An 18345-nucleotide genomic window follows, 5' to 3' on the forward strand; every position below is an offset into this window, starting at 1 on the left:
CTTACTGTCGGCTTCCACAGCCCGCCTGTAGGGAAGCCTGGGCGGGGCTGTGTCAGACCGTGTAGTGTGCGGTGAAAGCACAGCGGGTGCGTTAGTGTGCAGGGGCTCCCCCGCACCTCCCCTAGCAGGGTCCTGCCTCTGATGAGGACTTCCTGTCTGGTTGGAGGCCCCAGACTTGGCCCCAGGGCCAGGGAGGCATCAGAGAGCATAGGCCTTGTTTCCAGCACCAGCTGGGGCACCTGTTGCCGCAGAGCTGGCCCAAGGTGTCACCCCCTCCTGCCGCAGCCACCCATCCCCAGGAGGCGGCCGCCTACCCCAAGTCCTGCCTGTCTCTTCCCTGCAGAGGAGTCCAACAAGAAGCACCCATTCCCGTGCCCTACGTCCTACCGCACGGCCCTCACCTACTACCTGGACATCACCAACCCGCCGCGTACCAACGTGCTGTACGAGCTGGCGCAGTACGCCTCGGAGCCCTCGGAGCAGGAGCTGCTGCGCAAGATGGCCTCCTCCTCCGGCGAGGGCAAGGTGCGCCCCCTCAGCCCCCGCAACCTCCGCCCCGTCACCCCGCCGTTTTCCGAGCTCCGTGGGCCCCAATCAGCCCCATCTCACCCCCGTGTCTCTTAGGAGCTGTACCTGAGCTGGGTGGTGGAGGCCCGGAGGCACATCCTGGCCATCCTGCAGGACTGCCCGTCCCTGCGGCCCCCCATCGACCACCTGTGTGAGCTGCTGCCGCGCCTGCAGGCCCGCTACTACTCCATCGCCTCATCCTCCAAGGTGAGGGCCGGCACTGCCCTGCCAGCCACACGCTGGAGGCCCAGCCCTGCTCACAGCAGGCAGAGTGCAAGGCGGCACAGGAGCTCCGAGATCTGAGCCCTGAGCTCCAGTTCCAGCCCCAGCGCAGCTCCAAATGCCTCCCCAGGCTGTGGACTCAGTCGGGCTGGCTTGTGAGATTCTCAGCATCTGTCCAGCCCCGGTCCCCAGAACCAGTCCGGGAAGCCGCTGGGGAGGGGGCCTCTGAGGTTTGGGTGCCAGGTGGGCTGGAAGAGGCCCTGGGTGAGTGGGGCTGGCCTGCAGAACGGGACTTGGGGCCGGGGCTGGGCAAGGGCCTCGGTGTGGCGGTGGAGCTCACACGGCCCTCCCCACAGGTCCACCCCAACTCTGTGCACATCTGTGCGGTGGTTGTGGAGTACGAGACCAAGGCTGGCCGCATCAACAAGGGCGTGGCCACCAACTGGCTGCGGGCCAAGGAGCCTGCCGGGGAGAACGGCGGCCGTGCGCTGGTGCCCATGTTCGTGCGCAAGTCCCAGTTCCGCCTGCCCTTCAAGGCCACCACGCCTGTCATCATGGTGGGCCCCGGCACCGGGGTGGCACCCTTCATAGGCTTCATCCAGGAGCGGGCCTGGCTGCGACAGCAGGGTGAGTGGGGTCCCATGGGGGAGAGGGGGTGACGACTGGGAGCCCCGCGCTCACCCCGGCCCCTGCCACGCAGGCAAGGAGGTGGGGGAGACGCTGCTGTACTACGGCTGCCGCCGCTCGGATGAGGACTACCTGTACCGGGAGGAGCTGGCGCAGTTCCACAGGGACGGTGCGCTCACCCAGCTCAACGTGGCCTTCTCCCGGGAGCAGTCCCACAAGGTGAGACGGGCGGGCACCCACGAAGGTGGGCATGAGGCTGGCAGGGCCACAGCCACAGTGCCCCCCTCACAGCACCACCCTTGGCCCCAGGTCTACGTCCAGCACCTGCTAAAGCAAGACCGAGAGCACCTGTGGAAGTTGATCGAAGGCGGTGCCCACATCTACGTCTGTGGGTGAGTGAGTGGGGTCACTGGAATAGGGGGCAGGGAGGACAAGGCCCTGCCTGCCACAGTTGGCCCAGCCCCCAGCACCCCCTCTTCCTGCCCAGGGATGCACGGAACATGGCCAGGGATGTGCAGAACACCTTCTACGACATCGTGGCTGAGCTCGGGGCCATGGAGCACGCGCAGGCGGTGGACTACATCAAGAAACTGATGACCAAGGGCCGCTACTCCCTGGACGTGTGGAGCTAGGGGCCTGCCTGCCCCACCCACCCCACAGACTCCGGCCTGTAATCAGCTCTCCTGGCTCCCTCCCGTAGTCTCCTGGGTGTGTTTGGCTTGGCCTTGGCATGGGCGCAGGCCCAGTGACAAAGACTCCTCTGGGCCTGGGGTGCATCCTCCTCAGCCCCCAGGCCAGGTGAGGTCCACCGGCCCCTGGCAGCACAGCCCAGGGCCTGCATGGGGGCACCGGGCTCCATGCCTCTGGAGGCCTCTGGCCCTCGGTGGCTGCACAGAAGGGCTCTTTCTCTCTGCTGAGCTGGGCCCAGCCCCTCCACGTGATTTCCAGTGAGTGTAAATAATTTTAAATAACCTCTGGCCCTTGGAATAAAGTTCTGTTTTCTGTATTTGCCTGGTATTGTGTGAGTAGATCTGGGACCTCCACCTGCATCAACTTAACTAACTCAGACCCCAGGAACCCATGTGGTGGGGCCACCCAGCCCTCCCCTCCCCCAGGAGAACACACACGCTCAGGCCACCTCTGGGCCTCTCTTTATTGAGGGCACTGGGCCCAGGTCTTCCTTCAGGGCCCACAGCGCCCATAAAACCCAAGGGAGAATAGAAGAGACCCCCTGATACACGCACACTCGAGGGGCGCCTCCCATCCCCTCCCACAACACACAGGACAGAAGCCCCTCTGGGCCGGCAGGGGAAGGCCCAGCCTCAATCCTTCTTGCTCCCGTGCCGCTGACTGTGAAACTTGTGGTGCACAACCCTCAGGGTGGTGAAGAAATTGCCGAGGAAAAGGAGGAGGAAGGGAAAGCCGCACATAAGCACCTGCCGGAGGAATAGGGTGAGGGCTGGACATGGGCCTGGCCCCCCATCCATCCTGTCCAGGGACCCCGGCTCACCTGCCACTCCTTGCACTGAGGGTCCTGGGCCAGGTTGAACAACGTCAGCGCGTTAAAAAGCTGCCAGAACTAAGCAGGGAGGAGGCATTTTACTCAGAAGACCCAGTCCCTGCTGGAGCCCGAAACCGGCGCAGAGGACGGACAGACAGACAGGCAGGGACACAGAGGCACGACTTACGTGTCCAAAGAAAAGAAAAGGCAGCAGGAAGGTGAGGCCCCGCCACATCCAGGACTGGAAGCCCTCTGCGGGGAGGAAGGTCAGGGCACAGGACGGCCAGGGACAGAGGGGACGCTACCACTCAGACCCGGGATGGGAGGAAAGGGGAATGTCCAGATGCCAGGGCCACTCCCGACTCACCCACAGTGAGGTCCATGGTGTGCCGCTCGCCCAGCGCCCGCAGGCGGTAGAGGCAGCCGCTCTGGTAGTAGTACTGGAGAAACTGCACGAAGCCTGGGCCGGGCGGAGGACAGAGGAGCAGGGCTGAGCCCCGGGAGGGGTTCCCTGCCCCTGCCCCCCACCACGGGTGCCTCCAGGGCTCAGCACAGACATCTGGGACACTCACTCTGGTACATGGAAAAGGAGAGGAATTGGTTCCGGAATTTCTGGTACATGAGACCGTCGGGCCTAAGGTAAAAAGTGGAGGGCAGTGTGGGGACCCTTGGGGATGCCGTGTATCCCCTCCTTGTCCCAGCTCCTGCCCCTGCCGGGGCCCAGCCACTCACCACGTCAGCATGACTCCCGACAGGAAGGTGGACACGTAGTGATGGAACACCCACCAGCCTTTGATCCTGGAGCAGAGAGCCACCATCACCCCCAGCGCCTGTTCCTGCTTCCCGGAGGGTCCTGGCACCCCATTCCATGCTCCCCTCCCTCAGGGCCCGCCCTGCCCACCGGGAGCCGTTGTTGATGAGGATGCTCTCCCGGATGGTCAGGGTGCAGTAGTACCAGACCAGCAGGAAGTTGAAGGCAGCATCTGTCACCCTGCGGAGGGAGGGGACCGAGGGTTGGTACTGCAGCGACTGGGGATGGGGTGGGTCCTCGGCCGGGGTGGGACGCCCACCTGGAGTTGAGCAGGAAGCGGCAAGTGAAGGAGATGAGGATGAGGATGATGGTGAGGTAGAGCTTGAACTTCTCATACTCGTCCTTGTAGGCAAACCTGGGGGGCGCAGGCCGGTGAGACGGGTGGGGTGCTGGTGGGGCCCATGTGTGCCCCCACCCCGGGAGGGCAGCTGAGCCAAGGGTAGTCGGATGGAGGAGAAGGCCGGGTTGGGGGGTGGAGGGGAAGGCCAGGTGGGGTGGGGGGTGGAGGGGAAAACCAGGTTGGGGGGAAAGCCGGGTGGAGGGGTGGAGGGGAAGGCCGGGTGGGGGGCTGGAGGGGAAGGCCAGGTGGGGGGCTGGAGGGGAAGAAGGCCGGGTGGGGGGCTGGAGGGGAAGGCCGGGTGGGGGGGTGGAGGGGAAGGCGGGGAGGGGGTGTGGAGGGGAAGGCGGGGAGGGGGTGTGGAGGGGAAGGCCGGGTGGGTGTGTGGAGGGGAAGGCCGGGTGGGTGTGTGGAGGGGAAGGCCGGGTGGGTGTGTGGAGGGGAAGGCCGGGTGGGGGGGTGGAGGGGAAGGCCGGGTGGGGTGGGGGGTGGAGGGGAAGGCCGGGTGGGGTGGGGGGTGGAGGGGAAGGCCGGGTTGGGGGGTGGAGGGGAAGGCCGGGTTCCGGGGGAAGGCTGGGTGGAGGGGTGGAGGTTGAGGGGGGGAGGGGGGTAGGGGGCTAGGGGTGGAGGGGTGGAGGTTGGGGGGTGGAGGCTCGGCCTGATTACTTAGCCTGCTTGCTCAGGAGCGTGACGTTGACGTTCCCCAGAACCAGGCTCAGGTACAATCTAGGGAAGGGGGTGGCGGGGTGAGGAGAAGCCCGAGTGACAGACAAGCCACCGGTACTCAGCCAAGCCTGCCAGGCCAGAGCCTGGGCCACCACCCCACCCCCTCACCCGCTGCTTTCCGCAGGGCCTTGGCATCGGGTTCTGACCTTGGAGGCTGCAGACCCACTCCCTGCCATGCCCAGCCTTCCTGGCCGCCTGCTCCGGAATCCTGACCCCCGGAGGAAACAGTGTTCCCCCCCATCTCCAGAGTCTTGTCTGAAACTCCCCCACCTCAGGGCACCAAGAGAACCCGGCTCTCCCTCCCTGCTGAGGGCCGTCCCCCTGTCCCCGATTGCTCCCCTGTGCGATGGCCACCACCTACCCCCCAGCTCCCTGCCACCTCCCCTCCAGAACCTGCAGTACTAGGTTCCACTTCAGAGACCCACACGCCTGGCCACATCTAGGACGACCTCCCAAACCAGAACAGAAACTCAGAGCTCTGACTGTGGGCTGACCCCAAGTACTCAGCCTCCCGGGGCGTTTCTTCCCACCACGACCCCCCTTGTCCCTCACCGAGGCCCCCACGCTCTCCAGTCCCAGATCTCATCAGAGCTGGCTGAGTCCCCAGGCCACCCGCCAATTACACCACTTTTTTGCCAATCCCCTTCATGTCCAGCCTCCACACCCACCAACTGAGATCATCTTGCCCTTCTCTGCCAGAGATACTCCAAGAGGTGACAGCAAAGTCACGGTCACTTTCTCAGCACCTGCCCCAGACACATGGGCTCTTGTTCACACTCAAGCCAAACAGACAGAGGCTCAGCATGGTTAGGCAATTTGCCCCAAGGCCACAAAGAACTTCTGGGACAGCCATGCTTCTCCCTCTACAGAATGCTCCCGGCACAGTGCTCCCCAAGCAGGCCAGCTTCAGCCTCCACTGCCAACCCACCAGGCTGCGGATGTGTCCCCACTCAGCTCGCCATCTGGTTCCCAGCACTCGCCTCTCCACATCCTCTCCCCGAAACCCTCTACCCTGTCTCCTCCCACCTCGGGCCCCACCTGCAACACTGCAGAGAAGACAGCCTGACTCCTGCTCTATGGGGAGCACTATGCCAGGAGCACTGTGCCGGGAGCACTCCTCACTCTCATCTCTGCACCCTCCATCCCCCACTAGCCCTTCTCGCTCTCCCCAGGCTTCCCTCCATCACCTCCTGCCCTTCTCCTGGGTCTTTCCCCTCTCGGCCCCTCTTCTCAGCAGGTGGATGTGCTCGAGTCTTCCCAGAGGCAAAGTAACCCCACAAACAGGCAGTAGCTGCCCCTCAACCCAGTGCTAATTTCCAGTTCCTAGTTGCTAATTCTCTCCCTCCACTCACAGCCAAGCTCTAAAAAGTCTCCCAGAGGGCTGGGTGCGGTGGCTCACACCTGTAATCCCAGCACTTTGGGAGGCCGAGGCGGGTGGATCATGAGGTCAGAAGATCGAGACCAGCCTGACCAACATGGTGAAACCCCATCTCTACTAAAAATACAAAATACAAAAATACAAAAATTAGCCGGGTGTGGTGGCGGGCACCTGTAATCCCAGCTACTCCGGAGGCTGAGGCAGGAGAATCGCTTGAACCACGGAGACAGAGGTTGCAGTGAGCCGAGATCAAGTGACTGCACTCCAGCCTAGCGACAGAGTGAGACTCTGTCTCAAAAAAAAAAAAAAAAAAAAAAAGTCTCCTAGACTTGGCTGTCTCCCTTCCTTGGCTCTTCTGTCATCCCCAAGATCGACATCCATCCCCTTCCACCAAATGGTTCTGCCAAGATGACCCAACTTCCAGGAAGCGCATCCCCTTCCTTATCACAGGACTGACCCCAGGCTACGGACACTCCTTTCTTCTCCCTGCCTTCTGGGCCACGCCCTCTCCCAGCTATCTCCCTGCCTGCAGCCTCTGCTGGGATTTTTTGCTCAGCAGGGGGTTTTGCACTGCCCCATCCGTCCTCCTGGGTGACAGCTGCTGGCCTTTCCAGGTGCACATTCCACCGCCCCCGCCCGCCTACTGGGCTCAAGGCAAGAGCTGCAGCCCAGCAAAGCCTCTGATCTCTTGGCTGCCTCTCACCTCCCGCCCCGACCTCTGGCCACTACAAGTTCTCATGGCCCGTCCACCTGCTGCTACCTCTCGCCCTCAGCCCATGTGTCTGCCTCATTTTTTTTATTTATTTACTTATTTATTTTTTAAGACAGAGTCTCACTCTGTTGCCCAGGCTACAGTCCGGTGGTGCGATCTCAGCTCACTGCAGCCTCCGCCTCCCGGGTTCAAGTGATTCTCCTGTCTCAGCCTCCCAAGTAGCTGGGATTACAGGTGCATGCCACAATGCCCGGCTAATTTTTGTATTTTTAGTAGAGATGGGTTTTACCATGTTGCCCAGGCGGGTCTTGAACTCCCGACCTCAAGCGATCTGCCTTGGCTTCCCAAAAAAGTGCTGGGATTACAGGCATGAGCCACCGCGCCCAGCCTATTTGTTCTTTTTAAATAAATAGAGACATAGGGTCTCAGTATGTCACCCAGGCTGGTCTTGAACTCCTGAGTTCAAGTGATCCTCCCACCTCCATCTCCCAGAGTGCTGAGATTACAGGTGAGAGCCACCACGCCCGGCCCACTCTTTATTCTGTAAGACTCAGCCCACCCATCCCCTAATCCAGGAAGCCTTCTGCGACCTCCTGGACTGGGTCAGGTGTCCCTCACTGTGCCACCTCATTCCCCATGCTACAAAGCACCTATCACAGTGAAATGTCACTCTCAGCCAGGTGTCTCCCCTGAAGTCAGCACTGTGCCTCATTGCTCAGCCTGTACTGGGCCCAGGGAACATTTGCTGACTATAATGACCAAGAGGAGGCAGCACCCGGCTTCAGGAGTGGCTGTGAACTGAGCTGGGGGTGGCGGTGGGGGCCCTCACCCATTCTTCTTAGGCAAATAGGCCTCCATGTCAAAGAAGAGGCCTTGGCGCTCTTTCATCTGGTTCTCCAGCTCCTGTGCGGCCCCCTCGGCCTCTGCTGGGAGGGAGGGTTTGCATCTGCGGGTAAGGCCAGAAACAGTCAGGGCAAGAGGACTCCCAAGTGTCCTCCCTGACTCCCACAGGGGCAGAAGGGCAAACAGGGCCCAGAGAGGGGAGGGGCGGTGCCCAGGGTCTCACAGCGCCAGCCCTCCCACCCCACACTCTGCCCATGGCGGGTGGGGTAGGGGATCCTAACTTCTTCAGGGCGAGGGCCAGCTCCTGGAGCCGCTTCTTCTGCCGCGTGATGGAGCTGGTGCAATTGTTCTGAAGTTTGGTCAGCTCCTCCAGCTTCAGGCGGTAGAGCCGATGGGTCTCCTGGGGGCCGGAGGGGAGAGGCTCAGGCCAGTTGGGGAGCTACTGAGCCAGAGCCTGCAGGCAGGACGTGGCGCTCAGGCTCCCCCAGGGCTGCTGGGAGGGTTTCGCTCAGCGGGAAAGGAGGTAGAACTGTGCCTGCCCAGGGATGAGGTGGCTGTCTCCCCAAGGCAGGCAAGGACCTGGGTGTCCTCCTGTGAGCCCAGAGACCCCCACAGCACCCCTCCTCCAAAAACAGACTAGGTGTTTTTGTTTTTGTTTTTGTTTTGAGACAGTCTTGTTCTGTTGCCCAGGCTGAAGTGCAATGGCAGGATCTCAGCTCACTCCAACCTCCGCCTCCCGGGTTCAAACCATTCTTCTGCCTCAGCCTCCCAAGTAGCTAGGATTACAGGCACCTGCCATCATGCCTGGCTAATTTTTGTATTTTTGTAGAGACAGGGTTTCACCATGTTGGCCAGGCTGGTCTTGAACTCCTGACCTCAGGTGATCTGCCTGCCTCGGCCTCCCAAAGTGCTGGGATTACAGGCATAAGCCACCGCACCCAGCCAAGGTTTTCTTAGTCTCAGCCCATCTGCTAGTTGTCCCCACCCTACAAGGACAGACTCTTTCTCCTACCTTGAGTCTGGAGCTTAGGCCCCCAGGGCCACCTCCTGGACCAAGCAGGCAGCCCAGAGCCACCCCTCTATCCTCTCAGCTCCTCCTGCCTATCTAGCCTTCCAGTACAGGAGGAGCTCAGGTTCTCAGGAATCCCTGACATCTTCTTCCCAGGTTAAAGGTCATCAGGTTTCAACCCTAGAGCCTCCTGCTCTAAGGCCAGCCCCACTCCCTTCCCCTAGCACCTTTGGCCCAAGGATTCCCCAAGCACTTTGCCCTGGTAGGTGAGTCTCAAGAAGGCGCAGCCTAGAGATGGGGCAAGGGGCAGTGTGAGGAGAGCCAAGCAGGGGCTGTGGCCAGGACAGCGGCGGCCAGGCGGGGAGACTGGGTCTGCTCAGTCTCTGGGGAGAAGCACCAATGGCAGGGGCCTTGGCAGGGCCAGGGGCAGCTGGGTTTCAATGCCCACAGGAAGCAGTTGGAACCAGTCCAGGAGAGGCCAAGGGCTAACCAAGCCATCAGCTGGCCAGGGCTCTACTCTGTCTGGATCTTGTTTCTCATGCCCAGGAGGGGTCACCACGCCCCCTCGGACCCCAGCACGTGCCACTTCTGCCCACCCACAGCCACCGCCCTCTTCCCTGCCTGGATGAGGCCAACAGCCTCCTCCTCCCTGGCCTCTGGACAGAACAGCCACGGTGGCCCTGGGGAGCTCAGTCCAGACAATTCCTCCCGTAGCTTTCCACTGGCCTCGGAGGGACTCTGATCTCTGCCAGGCCAGAGCGTCCCTGCAGGGCCTAGCCCCGCCCACCCCTCCCACCCGTCCCACCCCTCCCCTGGTTCTCCTTGATGCAGCCACATGGGCCTGTCAAGTCCCCTCTTTCCTTCCAAAGGCCTCGGCGGCGCGCGGTATCCCTCTGCCTGGGGCGTCCCCCATCCAGGCCGAGGACACCCCCCTAAACGCTGCTCCCCCGACCTGGGCTGCCTCTCGGGCGCTGCCCGCTGCGCGTTTGCTGAGTGGCTGACCCAAGGCTGGGCCCGCCCGTGTGTGACTCAGGCGGCCGCTCTCTTCTGGGAAGGGACGGGGTCGGGGTCTGGGCCCCTTTCCAAGGCCCTCATTGGAAGCCGAGGTCGCCCAGCGCGATGGGGTCCCGCCGGGGTTCCCGGACACTGGAGGTGGTGGCAGTGGACACCAGGACCAGGGGCCTCGCCCCCCTTGGCAGTGACGCCAGGGCCCCGACCCCTGACCCTTAGCTCCCCACTGCCTGACCCAGGGCTGCCCGACCCTTGACCCTGAGCCAGCGAGACGCGGCTCGGGGGCGACCCGGCGTCCGCAGCGGCGCTAACCTGGATGTTCTGGAAGTCCTGCTGTAGATCCTCCCAGTCCCGCAGGCAGTCGCCCAGCGGGCCCGGGGGCGGGGGCTGCATGGCTGCAGCGCCAGTAGCCAGTAGTGGAGGACGGCGCAGCAACCCCGGCCCACCCGAGGCTCCTCCGCCACCGCCCCCGTCCGCTTCCGGGCTCGCGCCGCCACGGGCACCAATGGGGAAAGGCCACGCCCCCCACCCCAGCCAATCCGGGACAGGGGCGGGGTATGGGCGGGGCCGTATGCAAGGGCGGTTGCTAGCCCCGGGACTCGCGGCCTGGACCGGGACTGGGACGGCTGCAGCCCCCGGGCCTGGACTGCACTGACTGTGCCAGCCGCGTGGTGCAGCCAGCAGGGCTCTGGCCCGTCATGCTGAGAGCAAACCAAGGTGCAGGGAGGTGACACCTGCTTGCAACATTTTCGTCCTTGGGAAGCTGAGCCTCTTTGGGGAAGGGAGTTAGAGCTGCTTCTCTCGCTTGGATTTTTACAGCGGCCTCCTTTCTCCCTGCCTCACCTCCACTGTCCCTTCTCGCGGCCACCGGACTGCCCTTCCCAAAACACAAGGCTGATTCCCCATCATGTTCATGCTTAAAACTTTCCAGCGGCTGTGTCCTGCCTACCAGGAGGTCCCTAATCGGAGCTCTGCAGCCATCCCGGGCTCTGTCCCAACTCACACCCTGAGGAAAGCCAGGGCTGTGTGTAAAGCCGTTCCCCCTCTGGCAAAACCCCACTCCTCCTTGAAGGCCTGCCCTTCTGTTGAGGGGAATCCCCCACCCCCTCCCACCCCCATCCCTCCACAGAGCGCGCTAAGTGGTGGGACGGCATTCATCTCTCTGTTCCCAGCCCCACCCACGCGGTGGCAGGGAATGGTTGCCGAATGGACTTGGGGAAGGTCCTGCATGGATGGACATCCTAATCCCCTACCAGTCCCCTAGTCTGTGCCGTCTCCTGATGCCCAGTTTGTTCTGTGGGTGCTGCCAGCTTTGGAGAAGTGCATTTGGAAAACAACTTCCAACTGGGTGCCGTGGCCCACACCTGTAATCCCAGCATTTTGGGGAGGCCGAGGCTGGAGGATCACTTGAGCCCAGAAGTTCGAGACCAGCCTAGGCAACAGAGCAAGACCCTGTTTCTACAAAAATAAAAATAAATTAGCCAGGTGTGATGGTGCATGCCTGCATTCCCAGCTACTCACTCAGGAGGTTGAGGTGGGAGGATCGCTTGAGCCCAGGGAAGTTGAGGCTGCAGTGAGCCATGATTGCGCCACTGCACTCCAGCCTGAGAGACACAGCAAGACCGTGCCTCCAAAAAAAAGGAAAGGGGGTAAAAAAAAGGAAAACTTTTAAGACCTTAGGAATTTCTAGAAACGTGGATAGGGAGATGGGGGAGGGGGTGAGAATCTCTCCTTGGTGAACACAGCCAGGCAGAAATGAGTGGGGAGCAGGGAAAGAAAATCTGTTTCAAGGGGTGGATGGCAGGAAGCGCTGGGGATGAGGCAAGGGTGTGATCCCATTCTAGGAGCCTGGGGGCTAGACAAGGCTGGGCTTGGTATCTCTGGGACTAGGGGACTGCCTATTGGTGGCTATTGTGACATCCTCTGTGAACCAACACAGGCAACCTCTGGGTACCCCCAGGCAGCCTCCAAAGGGTCTAAGTCACCAGGGGGATGCAGGGCAGCTGCTCTAGCAGCCAGATGCTCTTCCAGAGGCAGCCTCAGGGGTGCAGTTGGGATGGCCCGCGACACCTCAGGGATGCGGGTTCTTGGTGAACCTGAGCAGGGCGCATCAGCTAGGTGGCGTGAACAGGCACTTGGGAAGAATCAGTACAGGAGGCTAACATGAGACTTTCAGGCAGCAAAGGCCTTCTCCTTCCAGACAAGCCTGGGTATACACACTCTGGCCCTCCACCCACAAAATGCCCCCAGGTGAGGCTCTTCAGTACCCTTCGGTGGGCCTCGGAGAAGATCAGTAGAGCGGATCCATGATGTTTGTGATGGAATCTCCAAGGATAGTCTTCTCCCATTCCAGCAGCTGGCTCACCAATCCCCGATTTGGACACATGTTGTTTTTGCACTTCTTGACATAGGCCCAGGACCTCTATGAATACAAAGAGAGAAAGTGAACTTCACGATTGGTCCTGGGCCCTTTCCACTTGGATCAGAGGCAGCTTTCAGAGACAGGAGGCACTTGCACAGTGCCAGCAACACGGCTTAAGGGCTGGATGCAGAAACAGGGCAGCCTGGCATGAATGCATCAGTGCTGGGAGTCATGGGAGCTGACTCTGCCTTGGGCAAGCCCCTCTGCTTCTAAATCTGGTGACAGAAATAATTCCTATTTCAAACAGCTTCTGGGAAGATTAAGACAATATACATGAAACCACCTGTGGATGGCAAACACTATGCCAAGCCTAGTGCAGTCTCAACAAAGGTTTGCATTGTGACTGGACAAATTAATGGAAAGAGGAAGAGAACTGTGGGCAAATTCTCTGAAGAAGAAAATTCAAGCTGCCCTCCTTCAGGCATCCACCTTAAAGTACAGGAAGTGTTGCTGCATGAAGGAGGGTGAGCACCTGGTCTCCATCTGGATTGAGGACAAACGAAAAAGGGAAAGGCAAGAGTGGTGCCTAAAACTAGGAACAGAAGGAAATGGCCAGGCACAGTGGCTCATGCCTGTAATCCTGGCACTTTGGGGGGCCGAGACGGGTGGATCACCTGAGGTCAGGAGTTCGAGACTAGCCTGGCCAATGTGGCGAAACCCTGTCTCTACTAAAAAAATGCAAAAATTAGCCAAGTATGGTGGCACATGCCTGTAATCCCAGCTACTTGGGTGGCTGAGGCAGGAAAATTGCTTGAACCTGGGAGGCGGAGGTTGCAGTGAGCCGAGATTGCACCACTGCACTCCAGCCTGGGTGACAGAGCAAGACTCTGTCTCAAAAACAAAAAAGGAAGGAAGTGATGTCAACCTGATAAAGGCCATATATGAGAAGCCCACAGCTAACATCACACTCAATGGCGAAAGATAAAGTTTTTCCTCTAAGATCGGGAACAAGGCAAGGGTGCTTGCTTTCATCACTTCTGTTCAACATAGTCCTAGAAGTCCTAGCCAGAACAATGAGGCAAGAAAAAGAAATAAAAGGCATCTACAATGGATAGGAAGAAGTAACCTTACCTCTGGTTTGAAGATGACATGATTTCATATGTAGAAAACCCTAAAGATTACACACACACACAACACACACACACAGCTAATAAATTCAGCAAGGATGCAGGATACAAAACCAACATGCAAAAATTAGTTGCATGTCTATATACTAAACAATTCAAAAAGGAAATTAAGAAAACAATTCCATTTACAGTAGCATCAAAAAGAATAAAATATTTAACCAAGGAGGCAAAAGACTTGTACACTGAAAACTCCAAAACAGTGCTGAAAGAAATTAAAGGTACAAACAAATGAAAAGACATCCTGTGTTCATGGGTTGGAAAGCTTAATATTATTAAGATGCCAATACAACTCAAAGTAATCCACAGGTTTAAGGCAATCCCTATCAAAATCCCAACAACATTTTTTGTAGAAATAGAAAAATCCATCCTAAAATTCATATGGAATCTCAAAGGACCCCATAAAAAATATTTAAGAAGAACAAAGTTGTAGGTCTCACACTTCCTGATTTCAAACCTTAGTCTAACAAAACTACAGTAATCAAAACAGTATGGTATGGACATGAAGACAAAGAGACTAGTGGAATAGAATAGCCAGCCTAGCCTAGAAATAAACCCTTACCTATATGGTCAAGCAATTTTTTTTTTTTTTGAGACTGAGTCTCACTCTGTTGCCCAGGCTGGAGTGCAATTGTGCAATCTCAGCTTACTGCAACCTCCGCCTCCTGGGTTCAAGTGATCCTTGTGCCTCAGCCTCCCAAGTAACTGGGATTACAGGCATGTGCCACCACGCCTGGCTCATTTTTGTATTTTTAGCAGAGACGAGGTTTTGCCATGTCAGCCAGGCTGGTCTCAAACTCCTGACCTCAGGTGATCTGCCCACCTCTGCCTCCCAACCTGCTGGGATTACAGGTGTGAGCCACTGCACCGGGCCTGTCAAGGAATTTTTGATAGTATGCCAAGACCATTCGATGGGGGAAAAGGACAGTCATTTCAACAAATGGTGCTAGGAAAACTAGATACGCCATGCAAAGAATGAAATTGAAAACAGGAAATCAATAGAGAAAATCAAAAAAACCAAAAGCCGGTTCTTTGAAAAGATCAATAAAATCGATACACCGCTAGCCAGGCTAACTTAAACAGAAGACACAAATTACTAATACAGAAGTGAAAGAGAAGACATTGCTACAGATCCCACAGACATTAAAAGGATAATAGAAGAATATTCATATCCACAAATGTGATTGATCAATTCCTTGAAAGACACAGACTGCCAAAACTCACACAAGAAGAAACAGACAATCTGAATAGGCCTACATATATTAAAGAAATTGAGTGGTGGCAGATGCCTGTAGTCCCAGTTACTCGGGAGGCTGAGGCAGAAGAATGGCATGAGCCCGGGAGGCAGAGCTTGCAGTGAGTCGAGATTGTGCTACTGTACTCCAGCCTGGGTGACAGAGCGAGACTCCGTCTCAAAAAAAAATAAATAAATAAAATAACAATAATAAATTGAATCAATAATTAGTAACCTTCCAAAACAGAAAGCACCCAGCCTAGATGGGTTTATTGGTGAATTCCACACATATAATGGAATATTATTCAGCCTTAAAAGGAAGGAACTTATATAAGGTACCTAGAGTAGTCAAATTCACAGAGACAAAAAGTAGAATGGTGGTTCCCACGGGGCGATGAAGAGGGGAAAGTAAAGAGTTGCTGTTTCAGGTTTGCAAGATGGAAAAGTTTGGGAGATTAGTTGTACAATAATGTGAATGTACTTAATGCTCCTAAGCTATACATTTTAAAATAGTTAAGATGGTAATTTTTTTGTTGTGTGTGTGTGTGTGTGTATGTGTGTGTGTGTGTGTGTGTGTGTGTGTGTGTGTGTGTGTATATTTTTTTTTGAGACAGAGTTTCGCTCTTGTCACCCAGGCTGGAGTACAATGGTGCAATCTCAGCTCACTGCTGCCTCTGCCTCCCAGCTTCTAGCGATTCTCCTGCCTCAGCCTCCAGAGTAGCTGGGATTACAGGCACGCACCACCACGCCCAGCTAATTTTTGTATTTTTAGTAGAGGGGGTTTCACTATGTTGGCCAGGCTGGTCTTGAACTCCTGACCTCAGGTGATCTGCCCGCCTCGGCCTCCCACAATGCTGGGATTACAGGCGTGAGCCACCGCGCCCGGCCTGTTATGTATATTTTAACCACAATTTTTTTTAAAGTGGTGTGAGGGGCAGAGCTGTGCAGTCAAAAGGCTTACTATGTCCTCGCTGGGTCAGAACAGGCCCTGGAGGAAGAATCGTAAACCACCCATCCCCCACCACCACCCCACACATCGCCTGGCCAAGATGGTGAAACCCTGTCTCTACTAAAAATACAAAAATTAGCCGGGCATGGTGACACGGACCTGTAATCCCAGCTACGCGGGAGGCAGAGACAGGAGAATCGCTTGAACCCAGGAGGCAGAGGGTGCAGTGGAGGTTCAAGAATCGCTTGAACCCAGGAGGTGGAGATTGCACCACTGCACTCCAGCCTGGGCAACAGAACAAGACTCCATCTCAAAAAAAAAAAAAAAAAAAAAAAAAGGACTTTCTAGCCTACAACTTCACCCCCAAAGTGCACATGGGGGCAACAACCGAAGCCACTGGCCAACGAGTTTTATTCTTTGTCCCTCTCCTTCCCCCAAAAACATCCCTGGGCAAATGTTGGGGCTTTGTAGGTCCTATCAAGCCCTCTGGGGATCACGAACAGGCTGTGACAGGCAGGGCAGGCCCTCGAGAAAGGTGCTGTGAGTTAGGAGCTCCGAGTTCCGCCTGGGTTTGCTGCGATGGGTCCCTGCTTCCCTCTCTTCTCTGGACCCTGCGCCCAAGGTACAGGGAGATAGACGGGAGTGGGTGGGCGCCTGTGCTGCAGCTCTGGGACTCCAAGCAGTTCTCCCTTGGGCAACACCAAACAAACACAGGTGGACGGCCTGACAGCAGTGGGGGCTGCAGGACAGCCTGACCTGGCCTGAGTCCCTGGGCCAGCCCTGCATATCCAGCCTCAGGCCTCAAGCATGCAACACTGGGGCCTTGCCCTTGGGTGACGCGGACTGGGGAGCACCCTAGACTTGGAGTTATCTGGGATTCTTCCTCCCAAAGCAGTGCTGGGGCCCCACTCCTCCCAGGTTGCGCTCTGACCTCACCTCCCAGGGGGTGGCCGTGGTGCGAGCCTGGCCCGGGGAACGCATACCTGCAAGGTCTGCTCGTTACTATGCATGAGGTAGGCTATGATGGCGGCACAACTGCGGCTGATACCTTGGGTGGAAAAGATCAGAATGACAGAGCCAAGGTGATGGTGAATTTCTGCAAAAAGAAGTGGGGGGTTGGGTCATGCCTGGCCCTCCTCCCTGTGGGCCTGGGTTGCTGTCAGACACTGGCCTCCATGGGCCCGTGGTCCAAGCATGAGTTCAAAACCAGCCCACGTGACCTCGGCAAGTCCCATGATTTCTCTGGGAGCCCATTTCATTGTCTAGCAAGTGGGCATCCCTCAGACCTGGCTGGAAGTTCCAGAGAATCATGCCTGGGCAACCAGCATCACCAGGCAAAGACCTTCTCCTGAACTCCAGGTTTCTAGCCCAGGAAGCTCTGCTACCAACTGGCCTCCCAGTATGGGGCGGACAGGACCATCGTCATCCCAAAAACAGTCAGGAGCTGACAGAGCCAGTGTAGCCTGAGTGCCAATCCTGACTGCCACTCACTGGCCGTGGGGCTTGGGCAAGTTACTTCCTTTCCTTTCCTTCCCCCATCTCCTCTCTTCTTTCCCCTTTCTTCTCCTCTCTACTCCTCTCTCTCCTTTCCTTCTTTCTTTGTTGAGACAGAGTTTCACTCTTGTTGCCCAGGCTGGAGTGCAGTGGCACAATCTCAGTTCACTGCAACCTCTGCCTCCTGGGTTCAAGTGATTCTCCTGGCTTAACCTCCCGAGTACCTGGGATTACAAGCACCTGCCACCACGCCCAGCTAATTTTTTGTATTTTTAATAGAGATGGGGTTTCACCATGTTGGCCAGGCTGGTCTCCAACTCCAGACCTCAGGTGATCTGCCTGCCTTGGCCTCCCAAAGTGCTGGGATTATAGGCATGAGCCACTGCGCCTGATTTTTTTTTTTTTTTTTTTTTTTTCAATATAGACATGCAGTCTCACTATGTTGTTCAGGCTGGTCTTGAACTCCTGACCTCGGGTGATCTGCCCACCTTGGCTTCTCAAAGTACTGGAATGACAGGTAAGAACCACTGTGCCCAGCCTATTTTTATTTATTTTATTTTAGAGACTGGGTCTTGCTCTGTTGCCCAGGCTGGAACGCAGTGGTGTAATCACAGCTCACTGCAACCTTGAACTCCTGGGCTCAAGTAACCCTCCGCCTTAGCCTTCTGAGTAGCTGGGACCACAGGCATGTGCCACCATATCCAGCTAACTTTTTTGTACAGATGGGGTCTCACAATGTTGCCCGGGCTGGAGGGTAAGTTACTTGAGGCCACGGTGTCCTCATCTGGAAAACGGGATCACAGTATACTACCTACTTCATACAGTTTGGTTTTGTTCTGTGCTGAGCCCAGTGCCTGGCACAGAAATATCAGCTCTAATCACAGCACCCCTGAAGCTGTGAGTCCTGCCCAGGGAGAGGAAATCTAAGCTGGCACCCGAGGCTGGTCTGGCAACCCTCAGGAACTGAAGATAAGCCTACCAAGTGCAAAATCACAGACTGCCAGGGCTGAAGAAGGACGCAGAGATGACGATGGCCACCTTCCTCACCATCTGAATAAAGGAACTGAGCATGCAGTTTAATTTATTGACTGGCTCAGTGCTACCCAGGGAGGCAGGCTAGATGGGGTCCCTCCTTGGGCCACAAGGCTCTGCCATCTCGAGGTGGGACACATGGGAAGTCTCAGCCTCAGGCCCTGGTTGAGCAACATTTGACATCTACTGGGCAAATAAAGGATGGTTGGGGCTGGGTGTGGTGGCTCACGCCTGTAATCCCAGTACTTTGGGAGGCTGAGGTGGGTGGATTGCTTGAGCTCAGGAGTTCAAGACCAGTTTGGGCAACATGGCAAAACCCCATCTTTACTAAAAATGCAAAAATTAG

The 18345-nt window shown here is 57.2% G+C and overlaps 3 protein-coding genes across 26 annotated transcripts in view, besides 7 other annotated features; 1 reads left to right on the forward strand and 2 right to left on the reverse strand.

The window, feature by feature from the left end:
• POR (cytochrome p450 oxidoreductase) overlaps positions 1–2422 on the forward strand; it is a 71701-nt gene extending 69279 nt beyond the window's left edge. For 5 of the 7 annotated variants that reach the window (NM_001382659.3, NM_001367562.3, NM_001382658.3 and 2 more), the window contains 6 exons: positions 344–525; positions 625–774; positions 1146–1416; positions 1490–1635; positions 1726–1808; positions 1904–2422. In NM_001382659.3, coding sequence (NP_001369588.2) covers positions 344–525; positions 625–774; positions 1146–1416; positions 1490–1635; positions 1726–1808; positions 1904–2048 — 977 coding nt within the window. In that variant the 3' untranslated portion in view covers positions 2049–2422. The remainder of the gene's footprint in view (positions 1–343; positions 526–624; positions 775–1145; positions 1417–1489; positions 1636–1725; positions 1809–1903) is intronic. The other 2 variants (NM_001382657.2, NM_001382662.3) reach the window with 2 other exon arrangements.
• On the reverse strand, positions 2398–10162 carry TMEM120A (transmembrane protein 120A). Of its 5 annotated transcripts, none has more exons than NM_001317803.2 (12): positions 10057–10162; positions 8006–8124; positions 7711–7827; positions 4732–4791; positions 3988–4083; positions 3819–3908; positions 3650–3715; positions 3490–3551; positions 3285–3377; positions 3105–3169; positions 2927–2995; positions 2398–2790 (listed from the first exon to the last, which is right to left on the reverse strand). In NM_001317803.2, exons 1-12 carry the CDS (start codon positions 10135–10137, stop codon positions 2599–2601), a joined length of 1110 nt encoding a protein of 369 aa, NP_001304732.1. In that variant the 5' UTR covers positions 10138–10162; the 3' UTR covers positions 2398–2598. The 5 variants fall into 5 exon arrangements, 4 of the variants coding, with proteins under 4 accessions (NP_001304732.1, NP_114131.1, XP_047276875.1 ...); NM_031925.3 differs by having other exon boundaries at positions 2398–2852; NR_156695.2 differs by lacking the exon at positions 3105–3169 and having other exon boundaries at positions 2398–2852.
• Positions 5247–5296: an enhancer, noted in NCBI's record as "active region_26185". NCBI's record gives its function as "activates an Ori minimal core promoter by ATAC-STARR-seq in GM12878 lymphoblastoid cells {active_cell/tissue: GM12878}" and the evidence as "EXISTENCE:reporter gene assay evidence [ECO:0000049][PMID:35858748]".
• Positions 5317–5526: an enhancer, noted in NCBI's record as "active region_26186". NCBI's record gives its function as "activates an Ori minimal core promoter by ATAC-STARR-seq in GM12878 lymphoblastoid cells {active_cell/tissue: GM12878}" and the evidence as "EXISTENCE:reporter gene assay evidence [ECO:0000049][PMID:35858748]".
• Positions 6598–6892: a silencer, noted in NCBI's record as "tiled region #3792; HepG2 Repressive DNase matched - State 18:Pol2". NCBI's record gives its function as "represses a minimal TATA promoter and a strong SV40 promoter by Sharpr-MPRA in HepG2 cells {active_cell/tissue: HepG2}" and the evidence as "EXISTENCE:reporter gene assay evidence [ECO:0000049][PMID:27701403]".
• Positions 7643–7702: an enhancer, noted in NCBI's record as "active region_26187". NCBI's record gives its function as "activates an Ori minimal core promoter by ATAC-STARR-seq in GM12878 lymphoblastoid cells {active_cell/tissue: GM12878}" and the evidence as "EXISTENCE:reporter gene assay evidence [ECO:0000049][PMID:35858748]".
• Positions 9884–9943: a silencer, noted in NCBI's record as "silent region_18303". NCBI's record gives its function as "represses an Ori minimal core promoter by ATAC-STARR-seq in GM12878 lymphoblastoid cells {active_cell/tissue: GM12878}" and the evidence as "EXISTENCE:reporter gene assay evidence [ECO:0000049][PMID:35858748]".
• Positions 9954–10403: a silencer, noted in NCBI's record as "silent region_18304". NCBI's record gives its function as "represses an Ori minimal core promoter by ATAC-STARR-seq in GM12878 lymphoblastoid cells {active_cell/tissue: GM12878}" and the evidence as "EXISTENCE:reporter gene assay evidence [ECO:0000049][PMID:35858748]".
• STYXL1 (serine/threonine/tyrosine interacting like 1) overlaps positions 11904–18345 on the reverse strand; it is a 51664-nt gene continuing 45222 nt past the window's right edge. For 7 of the 14 annotated variants that reach the window (XM_011516293.4, XM_047420470.1, XM_047420466.1 and 4 more), the window contains 2 exons: positions 16457–16569; positions 11904–12166 (listed from right to left, as the gene is read on the reverse strand). In XM_011516293.4, coding sequence (XP_011514595.1) covers positions 12035–12166; positions 16457–16569 — 245 coding nt within the window. In that variant the 3' untranslated portion in view covers positions 11904–12034. The remainder of the gene's footprint in view (positions 12167–16456; positions 16570–18345) is intronic. The other 7 variants (NM_001317787.2, NM_001317786.2, NM_016086.3 and 4 more) reach the window with 4 other exon arrangements.
• Positions 16372–16872: an enhancer, noted in NCBI's record as "H3K4me1 hESC enhancer chr7:75630123-75630623 (GRCh37/hg19 assembly coordinates)". NCBI's record gives its function as "activates a minimal SCP1, AML or CMV promoter by ChIP-STARR-seq in primed H9 embryonic stem cells {active_cell/tissue: H9 hESC(primed)}" and the evidence as "EXISTENCE:reporter gene assay evidence [ECO:0000049][PMID:30033119]".

The sequence above is a fragment of the Homo sapiens genome, chromosome 7, assembly GCF_000001405.40.
Source record: "Homo sapiens chromosome 7, GRCh38.p14 Primary Assembly".
NCBI lineage: Eukaryota > Metazoa > Chordata > Mammalia > Primates > Hominidae > Homo > Homo sapiens.

Excerpts from the sequence above, each read along its gene's own strand:
- TMEM120A (NM_001317803.2), bottom strand. The coding sequence starts at position 10,137 with ATGCAGCCCCCGCCCCCGGGCCCGCTGGGCGACTGCCTGCGGGACTGG. Across the intron at positions 4,792-7,710 it reads TATTTGCCTAAGAAGAATGG|ATTGTACCTGAGCCTGGTTC; the intron begins GTGAGGGCCCCC and ends CCCCTTCCCTAG. Across the intron at positions 2,791-2,926 it reads CTCAGTGCAAGGAGTGGCAG|GGTTGTGCACCACAAGTTTC; the intron begins GTGAGCCGGGGT and ends CACCACCCTGAG.